At 44.1% G+C, this 12,318-nt stretch overlaps 1 protein-coding gene and 1 pseudogene across 1 annotated transcript in view; one reads left to right on the top strand and one right to left on the bottom strand.

Annotated features, from left to right (window-relative positions):
* Window positions 2,121-2,695, bottom strand: UQCRFS1P2 (ubiquinol-cytochrome c reductase, Rieske iron-sulfur polypeptide 1 pseudogene 2; annotated as a pseudogene).
* The window catches only part of SVOPL (SVOP like), a 107,078-nt gene continuing 97,718 nt past the window's right edge, over window positions 2,959-12,318 (top strand). Inside the window, exon 1 of the mRNA NM_001139456.2 lies at window positions 2,959-3,143. The gene's annotated coding sequence lies outside the window, so the exon portion shown is untranslated. The remainder of the gene's footprint in view (window positions 3,144-12,318) is intronic.

The following is a 12,318-nucleotide window of genomic DNA, read 5'->3' as shown; positions in this document are numbered from 1 at the left end:
CTGGCCAGTTCTAAATTTTCATTGTTAGTAAAGTTCTAAAAGAGCTGATTAAATTCAAAATATGCTTTGGATGAGACCCTGTTTTTTAAGTGCCTACGTGCCCTGTGTGTGGTAAAGCTGATTGGTGCTCATGGAAGCGGCATTGCTCAAACCTAAAAGGAAGCTTCTGTGTCACCTTCCATGTCAGTATCATGACTTTTCCAGCACAGTGGAAGGCACATATTAGATGCTCAATATTCACTTAATGAGATTGAGCAAAAGAATGATAGCTAAGGTCAGAAGGTGTACATGTTTGAGTCCCAACTTTGATGCTTTATCATGAGTGCCCTCAGGAAAGAAATGGAGTTGTTCCCCTCATTGCCGAATGGAAATAATGATCTCCACCTCTCTGGACTGTAGAAAAGGTGGTTGTAAAGCCCTGGGTGTGGAGGAGATACTGTCAGTGATGGTTGAACTGGGAGAATAGACTAAGACAGCATGCAAATGGAGGGATAAGAAATCTACCAATCCCATGCTGCCATGGCCACTGGACGATTTTCAGGTTCTCAGCTCACAAATGTCCTTCTCAACAACTATCTAAAAAGAACCCTGTGCTTAAATGGATCACCAGCCTGTTGATCCTTAAGTCTATTTTTTTTTTAATTTTTATATACCACTGTGTAGTTTTAAATTAGAATTAGGCCAGGCATGGTGGCTCACGCCTGTAATCCCAGCACTTTGGGAGGTCGAGGTGGGTGAATTGCTTGAGGCCAGGATTTTGGGACCAGCCTGGCCAACTGGTGAAACTCCTCATCTACTGAACGTATGAAAATTAGCCAGGCATGGTGGTGTATGCCTGTAATCCCAGCTACTCAGGAGGCTGAGGCAGGAGAATCACTTGAACCCGGGAGGCGGAGGTTGCAGTAAGCCGAGATCACGCCACTGCACTTCAGCCTGGGAGACAGAGCGAGACACCATCTCAAAAAAATAAAAACAAAAAATTTTTTTAAAGTAAAAAATTAGAACTACCTAAAAGACATTGCACCTTTCAAGTGTATGACAGTGTAACAGTGTTTAACAGTTGTTTTATTAAGTGAATGCTTGAACGTATTCAACATTAAATTCAATTTACTTCACAGTAATGTTTGCAAATACATTATCACTTCTTAAATATTTCAAATCAAGCAACTTGAAGTTCAGAAGGCTTGCTCTCAAATAACTCTTCTACAGTGACGCAAAGACTGAAAGGAGCCTACAACTTGAGTCCCAGTCTCTAACCAACAATGACTGTGTCCTCACTGGTGAACCCATATGAGGGAGCTCCAAGCTCAAGAGGGGCAGGCCCCTTCCAGATCCTCCCAGATGCATCTGTGTGACCCCCAGCAAGGGCAGTAATCACCACCAAAATCTTCATTTGCAATAGGTGTACAACAGGATGAATGCAAACGCCTAGTAAAGAAACTCGAATGGGTTACCCTGATAGGCATTGCACTCATTCTTTACTCCTTTTTTATCTTTTTTTTTTTTTTTTCAGACAGAGTCTCACTCTCTCTCCCAGGCTGGAGTGTGCAGTGGCGCGATCTTGGCTCACTGCAACCTCCGCCTCCCAGGTTCAAGCACTTCTCCTGCCTCATTCTCCCGAGTAGCTGGGATTACAGGCATGGACCACCACGCCTGACTAATTTTTGTATTTTTAGTAGAGACGGAGTTTCACCATGTTTGCCAGGCTGGTCTTGAACTCCTGACCTCAAGTGATTCACCCGCCTTGGCCTCCCAAAGTGCTTGGATTACAGGTGTGAGCCACCACTCCCGGCCCATCCTTTACTTCTTCTTCTTCTTCTTTTTTTTTTTTTTTTTTGAGACAGATTCTCACTGTGTTGCCCAGGCTGGAGTGCAATGGTGCAATCTCGGCTCACTGCAACCTCTGCCTCCCAGGTTCAAGTGATTTTCCTGCCTCAGCCTCCCGAGTAGCTGGGATTACAGGCACATGCCACCACGCCTGGCTAATTTTGTATTTTTAGTAGAGATGGGGTTTCGCCATGTTGGCCAGGCTGGTCTTGAGCTCCTGACCTCAAGTGATCTGCCCACCTCGGCCTTCCAAAGTGCTGGAATTACAGGCATGAGCCACTGTGCCTGGCCCTTAAATCATGCTATGGGCCCTCAGCTGGGACTCTTCAACTGCAGGTTCTTGGTCAATTTCCTTCTTGGTTCTGTGGCATACAAACAGGGATTTGCCTCTCCATTTGAAAGCCATGTTCTTGCCTTCTGGAATATCAAATAACTTGATTGCAATTTTCGACACGGCCGACTCATCAGCAGAAGCACTGATGCTGGAAACAAACTGGGAGATGACATTCTTGGCAGCATATGTGACACCCACAGCAGTTGTTGCAGTTACCAAATAGGAGAACCCTTTCCTAGCCTCGCCATCCTCTTTTGAAGACTTTGTCCCATCAAAAATCTCAATGCAACAGTAATCAGGGAAGTCAGGCACATTGATGTCTGTATGGGAATAACGAACAGAAGCAGGGACATTGAGGCCCACAGAGTTGACCCAAGACAGGCTCATGGCCTGGCCACTCAGTGACTCCTGGCATAGCAAAGGCTGCTCTTGTACAGCACAGGCAGCTTCAGGGTGGCAGGCACCATGGCCTATACCAGGGGCTACAGCATGCCTGCCACCCTGCAGGATATGGCTGACAGGATGGGCATGAACCTGCTCCTTAATTCTAAGCAATGGCTGTGAGCAAATGTTTGCAAGGGCAAAGCTTCCCTCTGCCCCTTGCCTAGGTCTTCTCTTTCAGAAATTCTTCCAGCTGTCCTGAGAACAACATAGTAATTTCCTCCAAAGTTCGGCAGCCTCTTTCAGTCTTAACAAGAAATGTAATTTCCCCTTTAAAAGGAGATCAAGTGCAGGCTGCTGAGAAGAGGGTGTGCCCTAGGTGTCATTCACTTGCCCAGAATGCGAAGTTGGCCCTTAAAGAATCCTGATCTGAGACCCGACCTGAAAGGAGAGGATAAGACCAGGGAGCCAGGCGTCTTGGGAACACAAGTCTGGCCACCCCTGAGAAGCCATCTGTGCTCCAATTTCCGTCTAAGACTTGGCCACGGTGAGGGGAGCAAAAGAGCCTGAAATTGGAAGACTGTCCAAGGAATATACAGAGGTGAGAAATTTGTGGGCAACATTGATCTGGACTTATTTTTTCCTGCTGCTGTAGAGGGTGGGGTGGGGCATTGACTGTTAGTTTGTGGCCGAAGGCAAATGGAGCATGAAAATTTCCTTGGATATTGCAAAACAAATTACATCACACATCACACACAAAACTCAGTTTAAAAAAGATCTACTGTGGCCCAATTATTTCTGGTTAAAAAACAATCAGTATAACAAAATACAATAGAATAAAATGTCAATCAGTCCTTTAGAATTTGTTTTAATGAAGCTTGAACTCCATCTGAGTTCAGGGAAAATCCCCAATCTATCAGTTTCTCACCAGGTTTTGTGAAGGTAGGTCATGGATTACTTTCCCATTGTAGCTTTTTAGGAACTTATAGTGAGGGACGCGAAGCATTCTTTTCCATGTTATTCCCTATTTTCCTGAGTTGGTCTAACTGATCATCCATCTGCCATCCATCCATCCATCCATCCATCCATCCATCCATCCTCTTACTGGGTTAGAAAGGATTTAGAATGACACAGGAAACCAGCCGGGTGCGGTGGCTCACGCCTGTAATCCCAGCACTTTGGGAGGCTGAGGTGGGTGGATCACAAGGTCAGGAGTTCAAGACCAGCCTGACCAAGATGGTGAAACCCCGTCTCTACTAAAAATACAAAAAAATTAGCCATGCATGGTGGTGGGTGCCTGTAATCCCAGGTACTCAGGAGGCTGAGGCAGAAGAATCGCTTGAACCCGGGAGGCAGAGGTTGCAGTGAGCCAAGATCACACCACGGCACTCCAGCCTGGGCAACAGAGTAAGACTCTGTCTCAAAAAAAAAAAAAAAAAAAAAGACATACGGAACCAAAGAACAGAGTATGTCAATTCAGCCTTTCCAGCATTCCATTGCTGAGTTAAGATTGCAAGCTCTATCTCTCAATAATGTTCCTCATCTCCATCTCTCAAACATGTTGTTCTCTTCTTTCTTCATGTAGCTTTTGGCTGAAACTCTAGAGACTACCAAGAAAATACATTTCATATATATGCTAACTAACTTTGAGTTTGTGTTTGAGTGTCCTTTTAATGACTTGGAGAGTAAGCCCCTTTCCAAGGTACAGATGTGAACGCTACAATCCTGATAATCTCCTGCCAACAGCCCTGTGCCCTGCAACTTGCTCCACCAAAGGAATCCTGTTGTTGAAAACTCTGTATCCTAATAGGGTGGGAATGAGGACTTTCTCTGTTGCAGGTAAACCTGTACGTTTGTTTCTTCCCCCTCTTGGCAAATTCCCCTGACACCGGGGACCCACCCGGCCCTGATTATCTTCAAGGGCTATGCATTGGGAAGACCAGTGTTACAAGTGACGGGCACTGAACGCTGTTCCGGTGGCGGGGCGAGGGCTGACTTGCTCCTCGGAGCCACACCTCACCACCAGCCCTTTTTTTCCACCCTCACCCCACCCCCTGCACCAACTATGCCTTTGGAAGAACTGAAGTTTGAAAGCTTCTTCTTCCTCTAAAATATATTGATTTTGCAATGTAGAACACAGGAGAATTTTGGTGAAAAGTATCCATTTTGTCGTGCCTCTCATAAGTAAGATGAAGTGACTAGTTTGGAGAGGTTTTGAGGTCTTATTTTCCAGTAGGAAAGTAGCACACTGAGGTCACAATTTCCCAACACCACTCAAGTTTACCCATGAAATAAAATCAACCTAGTTTAGAAAACAAGTGACTTTTTCCTCCCCTCTTTGGGTAATTTTTTATTTGATCCCAGTGTGTTCTAATATTAGCAGAATATTAGCAATAAATGCCTTTTGGAGACATATATGTATTTGGTAACTCTTTAGATACTTTATTTTTGTTTTTATTATTTTTTTATTTTTTGAGATGGAGTTTCGCTGTTGTCGCCCAGGATGGAGTGCAATGGCACAATCTCAGCTCACTGTAACCTCCGCCTCCCAGGTTCAAGAGATTCTCCTGCCTCAGCCTCCCAAGTAGCTGGGACTACACCCGCTACCACACCCAGCTAATTTTTTGGAGACGGAGTTTCACTCTGTCACCTAGGCTGGAGTGCAGTGGCATGATCTCAGCTCACTGCAACCTCCGCCTCCTGGGTTCAAGCAATTCTCCTGCCTCAGCCTCCCGAGTAGTTGGGACTACAGGCATGTGCTACCATATCCAGCTAATTTTTTGTATTTTTAGTAGAGATGAGGTTTCACCGTGTTCCCCAGGCTGGTCCCAAACTCCTGACCTCAGGTGATCCACCCTCCTGGGCCTCCCAAAGTGCTGGGATTACAGGTGTGAGCCACCGCCCCCAGCCTGTACATACGTTAAAACATTTCCTGAGTAAATGCTTTGTGATTATGGTGAATTGTAAAAATTTGTTCGATGGCTTTGCTCAGAGGTGAGAGACAGTACTACCATGAGGACTTTTGATGCAATGGCACATTGACATATTTTATAAACATCATCTAATTTCATTGTCATCACACACTTAAGAGAAAGTTTATCAGTTGAGAATTGCACAAAACTGCAAGTAACAGAGACCAGAAATCACAGTGGCTTGGATCTAAGAGGTGTATTTCTTTCCTTCATACGTGGTGTCTGGAGGTGAGCAGTCCGAGGCTGCGGGAGATCTCTTGGTCCTCGGTTTCCAGGCTGTTCCTGTCTTATGCTGGCCAGATTCGGTCCAAAGTTTCCGTCTTTCAATTTGCATCATGACCTGAGATGCCAGCCAGAGGGCCAGCCACCCTGCCTCTAGTCTAGCGAGGGGGTGTGAGGAAGAGACAAGGGGCAGAAGAAGGTTTTCCCTGAAGCCCCAACAACCTTCACCTGCATCTCAGTGGCCACTGCCACCAGCAAGGTACAAGGGAAACCCTGATGTTGGGTAGGCAATAGCAATTTCTCCCACCGGCAGGTAGAATTATTTTTATTCCCAGATGAGGAAATGCAGGCAGAAGAAATGGAGTAAGTTTAATCTCGATTTCACCATGACTACTGGCTTTCTTCCTTCCCCCTCCTTCTTTCCCTCCATTCTTTCCTTCCTCCTCTTGCTTCATTCCCACCTCTACTCTTCCCTCATCCCTTCCTTTCTTCCCTTCCCTCCTTCCTTTCTTTTTTCCCTCTCTCCATTCCTGCCAACTTCTCCTCTTTTTCATTACTTCTTCCTTCCCTCCTTTCCTCTTTCCTCCCTTCCTCTGTCCTTTCTTCCTTCTTTCTTTTCCATGTTTGTTAATTTAGTTGGCATAAAATTATACGTAAAGATTTCAAAATTATAATTTACATGTCCTCTTGTGAATTGTTTGTTCCTACAATTTGCCTGTGAATCTATTGGGATTATCTTCTTTCATCTTCCTCCTTCTTCCTTCTCTTCTCTCTTCTTCTTCTTCCTCTTCTTCTTCTCCTTCTCCTCCTCCTTCTCCTTCTTCTTTTTCTTCTCCTTCTTCTTTTCTTCCTTCTCCTCTTCCTCTTCCTCTTCTTATCCTTCTTCCTCTTCTTCTTCCTCTTCTTTTCCTCCTTCTCCTCCTCTTGTTCTTCCTCTTCCACTTCTTCTTCTTCTTTTTTTTTTTTTTTTTTTGAGGCAGGGTCTGCCTCTGTTGCCCAGGCTGGAGTGCAGTGGGTGGCATGATCACGGTTCACTGGAGCCCCCACCTTTCAGGCTCAAGTGATTCTCCCACCTCAGCCTCCCAAGTAGCTGGGACCACAGGCACGTGCCACCACACAGGGCTAATTTTTTAAAAAACTTTTTTTGTAGAGACCAGGTCTCACTCTATTGCCCAGACTGGCCATTAGAATCTTAATATTTTTGTCTTGTAATTTGTGGCTTATATCTGCTACAAACATTTACTGGGTACCTGTATTTTTTTGGCAATTTTTTCTTGTACTTTTAATTTTTAAAAACTATGGTAAAATACACATAACTTCAAATTTGCCATTGTAAATTTTTTATTTTTAAAGTTATTAGTAGTAGTATTATTTTTGTAGAGATGGGGGTCTCACTCTGTTGCCTAGGCTGGTCTCAAATTCCTGACCTCAAGCAATCCTTCCACCGTGGCATCCCAAAGTGCTGGGATTACAGGTATGCACCACCATGCCCAGCCTGTAACAGTTTTAAAATGAACATTTCAATGGCATGTAGTACATTCACAATATTGTGCACCCATCACCACTATCAAACAGGGCCTCTTATGCCAGGCTACCATGTGGACTTCTGACCAATCATTTGATCGTCTCCAGGTCAAGTGCCTATCCCTGACCCAATAGGTCATGGCCAGTAATGGAGAGCAGGTGGGGGCATGTGGCACAAAAACACAGGCCTTGGCTGGGCATGGTGGCTCACATCTGTAAGTCCCAGCACTCTGGGAGACTGAGGCAGGAAGATTGTCTGAGCCCAGGAGTTTAAGACCAGTCTGGTCAACATGGTAAGACCCCGTTTCTACCAAAATTTTAAAAATTAGCCGGGCAGACCAGGGTGCGGTGGCTCACGCCTGTAATCCTAGCACTTTGGGAGGCTGAGGCAGGTGGAGCACCTGAGGTCAGGAATTCAAAACAAGCCTGACCAACATGGTGAAATCCCATCTCTACCAAAAATACAAAAAATTAGCTGGATATGGTGGCGGGCACCTGTAATGCCAGCTACTTGGGAGGCTGAGGCAGGAGAATCACTTGAACTCAGGAGGCAGAGGTTGCAGTGAGCCGAGATTGTACCATTGCATTCCAGCCTGGGGATAAGAGAAAAACTCCATCTCAAAACAACAACAACAACAACAACAAACAACAACAACAACAAAATTAGCCAGGCATGGGAGTGTGCACCTGTGGTTCCAGCTATTTGGGAGACTGAAGCCAGAGGATCAGTTGAGCCCAGGAGGAGGAGGTTGAGGCTGTAGTGAGCCATGTTCATGCTACTGCACTCCAGCCTGGGCAACAGACAAGACCCTGTCTCAAAAAAAGAAAAAAGAAAAAAAACAGACCTGCCTGGCATAGGGAGCACTGTGGGCAACATGTCAACAACATGTGAGTAACATGTCAACATGTCCTCAGTGGTTCATTTTTTCAAAAAAGAATTCTTGGTGAAGGAAAACAGTCTTTCTAAAAATTCAAACTAGGCTGGGTGCGGTGGCCCACGCATGTAATCCTAGCACTTTGGGAGGCCAAGGTGGGCAGATCACCTGAGGTCAGGGGTTCAAGACAAGCCTAGCCAACATGGTGAAACCCTGTCTCTACTAAAAATACAAAATTGCCCAGGCGTGGTGGCACACACCTGTAGTCGCAGCTACTCGGGAGGCTGAGACAGGAAAATCGCTTGAACCCAGGAGGCAGAGGCTCAGTGAGCCGAGATCACGCCACTGTACTCCAGCCTGGGTGAGGCAGAGTGAGACTCCGCCCCAAAATAAATAAAAACAAATAAATAAAAATTCAAACAATGCATAAAAATATAAAGTAAAAAAGAGAACCGAGAAACCTAAAATCTAAACCCTGTAAGTAATTCTAACGTCACCCTTTTTCTCTTGGTCAACTACTACTTCTTTTGAAGTCTCAATTTAGACTTCCCTACAGAAGCCCCCCCAGGTCTCAAGACTCACAAGAGAAGGAGCCCTCTCTTATGTTGCCAGAGCATCCTTCACTAACCTTATCGCCATATTTGTCATACCTGAATATTTGCCTTTTTTCTTTTTGAGACAGAGTCTCACTGTGTTGTCCATGCTGTAGTGCAGTGCATGATCATGGCTAACTGCAGCTTCAACCTCCCAGGCTCAGGTGATCCTCCCACCTCAGCCTCCCAGGTAGCGAGGACTACAGGTGGGCTCCACCACACCCACTGAATTTCTGTATTTGAGGTAGAGATGGGGTTTTGCCATGTTGCCCAGGCTAGTCTTGAACCCCTAGGCTCAAGCAATCCGCCCACCTCGGCTTTCCAAAGTGCTGGGAATACAGGTGTGAGCCATTGTGCCTGGCGGAATGCTTGTCTTTCTTCCACAGTAGGCTGCAAGTTCTTTGGAAACAGGAACTCTTTTCATTGTATTTTATTGTCTGATACCTAGTAGTGCTCAAGAAATATTTGTTGAAAGACTAAACACAGTTTTGGATAACATCTTTGCTGAAATCATTCCATCTATAAAATTATGTAATTAAATAATTTTATAAATTGGCCAGGCGTGGTGGCTCATGCCTGTAATCCCAGCACTTTAGGAAGCTGAGGTGGGTGGATCACCAGAGGTCAGGAGTTCGAGACCAGCCTGGTCAACATGGTGAAACCCTGTCTCTACTAAACATACAAAAATTAGCTGGGTGTGGTGGCGCATGCCTGTAATCCCAGCTACTCAGGAGGCTGAGGCAGGAGAATCACTTGAACCCAGGAGGCGGAGGTTGCAGTGAGCCAAGACCATTGCACTCCATCCTGGGCAACAAGAGCGAAACTCTGTCTCAAAACAAACAAACAAAATAATAATAATTTTATAAATTGGGATCATTATATAGATAAATATTGGAAAACACAGTTCAACAATCAATAGCCTTACTTAAGAGCTTCTATATGGCATTCTATTATGGGAATATATTATCATTTGTTTAGCCACTTCTCTACTGGTGAGCATTTAGTTTGTACCTAATTCTTTTGTTGTTGTTGTTAAAACAACAGTGTGGGTCAGCACGGTGGCTCATGCCTGTAATCCCAGCACTTTGGGAGGCAGAGGCAGGTGGATCACCTGAGGTCAGGAGTTCGAGACCAGCCTGGCCAACATGGTGAAACCCCATCTCTACTAAAAATACAAAAAGTTAGGTGGGCGTGGTGGCAGGCACTTGTAATCCCAGCTACTGGGGAGGCTGAGGCAGGAGAATCACTTGAACCCAGGAGGCAGAGGTTGCAGTGAGCCGAGATCACACCATTGAACGCCAGCCTGGGCGACAGAGCGAGACTCCGTCTCAAAAACAAAAAAAACCCAACAGTGTGGTGACCTTCCTTATGCCCACCTATATCGTTGTATACGTGTTTGACTATCTCATGAGGATGAGTCCTCAGAGTGAAACTGCTCAGTCAAGAATTCTGTCATCCAATGCCTCATTGCCTTTGAGAAAGGTTGTACCAATTTACACGTCTGCCAATAGTTCGAGTGCCTATTTCCCTTGCACTTGGTATAATCAGTCTTTTAAATTCTTGCAAATCTGACAGAGAAGAATTATAACTCCCTTTAATGTGAAGGTACGGTGCGGGTGAACACAGTTTCATAGATTTGCCAGCCACTGTATGTATTCTTCATGTCCCTGATGCCTCCATCTTTTCCTTCCTGAGCTGTAAGAGATTCTATTAAACATGTAAGTTTCATATTGTTTTTTTGTTTAGCTTTCTTTAAATTTATAAATTTTTTTGTTGAAGTAATAAGGGCACATGGCAACAAATCCAATAGTAAAATGAGTTTATAACAGAAATAAGTGATCTCCTGCTTCAGCTTCCCACATCCCCAAAGAAATTCCTTCCCTCCCTGCCTCCCTTCCTTCCTTCTTTCCTTCCTCGCTCCCTCCCTCCCTCTCTCTTTCTTTTTCCCTCCCTCCCTTCTTTCTTCTTTTTTCTTTCTTTCTTTTTTCTTTCTTTCCTTTTTTCTTTCTTTCCTTTTTTCTTTCTTTCTTTCTTTCTTTCTTTCTTTCTTTCTTTCTTTCTTTTTCTTTCTTTTCTTCTTTCTTTCCTTCCCTTCTTTCTCTCTCTCTTTCTCTCTCTTCTTTCTTTCTTCTGGGTTCTATCATCCAGGCTGGATTGGAACTCCTAGGCTCAAGTGATCTTCCTGCCTCAGCCCTCTAAGTAGCTGGGACCATGCCCAGCTAATTTTTAAAAAATTTTTAGTACAGAAGAGGTCTCTCTATACCCAGCCCAAGCTGGTCTTGACCTCCTGGCCTCAAGCAATCAAACAATCCTTCCGCCTTGGCCTCCCAAGGTGCTGAGATGACAGGCGTGAACCACCACACCTGGCAAGAAATTTCTTTTTATTGTGTGTTTTTAGTTTTCTGAGTGATTACTTTTATGATTAAAACAATATAATTATACTTTATTTCTTGGTTTATGACAGTATCAATCCATTACTCACAAGAAAAGTAATTTAGGTCATAATTTTCCTTCCTTTGTGCTATTCTCCCAATATGTTATAGGTATCTTTAGTTATTCTCTTAGCTATTTTTGTAATTATACATGGTACACTTATAGCTCTAGTCCTTATTATGTGAACTTTAGTTAGCATGTTGATTCTTTGGGTAGGATGCCTACCAATCCCTCCACCTTTCCTCACCGACTTCCAACTCTCACCTTTGTTATATGTAATTGGCTGTCCCCTTGTCAAATATACTGACATTTTGTTCCGTCCTGAAACCACAATCAAGTCTTATATGTTTTATTCAAAACTCTGGAGGTTAACTGTGAACCTGAAAATGAATAAACAGCCCCTTTTTTTATGGCCATGTAAATCTTGCTCACTCTAGGACCAAGGGTTGCATATGAAGATTCTATTTATTTCTCTAGCGGTCTAATGTCAAGATCAAAAGGAATTTTATTTTCTTTCATATCATCAGTTGCCTAAAACTATGCCACATTTTAATTTTCTTCATATCATGGAAACAAAATATTATTATTATTATTTTTTAATCAGAAATATATAATGACTATGAAGTCAACAATGCTATTATGTTGACTTTTGTTATAAGAAATGGCAATCTGAAACTGTAATATGTACTTGTGTCACATATTTTTTGCATGGAGCGTTTATATGTGTTTGGCCCAATGTTGGGGAGCAGTGGCTATAGAATGGAATTCATGCTCAGCAGGTGGGGTGCTTCTGGCCTTGCCCACCTCTGCAGCTTCACCTCCCATCACTACTCCTTTCTCACTATTTAAACAACGTGATACTGCTTGTAGTCTTCTCAGCACACATGCATACACACATGCTTTTTGAAAGAATGATGGATATATTCAATTCCATTTTGTAGCAAAACTTGACGTGAAACTCATAAGGCTATTTTTTCTTTTTTGAGATGGAGTTTCACTCTTGTCACCCAGGCTGGAGTGCAATGGCATGATCTCAGCTCACTGTAACCTCCTCCTCCCAGATGCAAGTGATCCACCCGCCTCGGCCTCCCAAAGTGCTGATTCACTTGAGGTTAGGAGTTCGAGACCAGCCTAGCCAGTATGGTGAAACCCTGTCT

Source organism: Homo sapiens, chromosome 7, assembly GCF_000001405.40.
Source record: "Homo sapiens chromosome 7, GRCh38.p14 Primary Assembly".
Classification (NCBI taxonomy): domain Eukaryota; kingdom Metazoa; phylum Chordata; class Mammalia; order Primates; family Hominidae; genus Homo; species Homo sapiens.
This window is presented reverse-complemented; position numbering and strand designations above follow the sequence as displayed.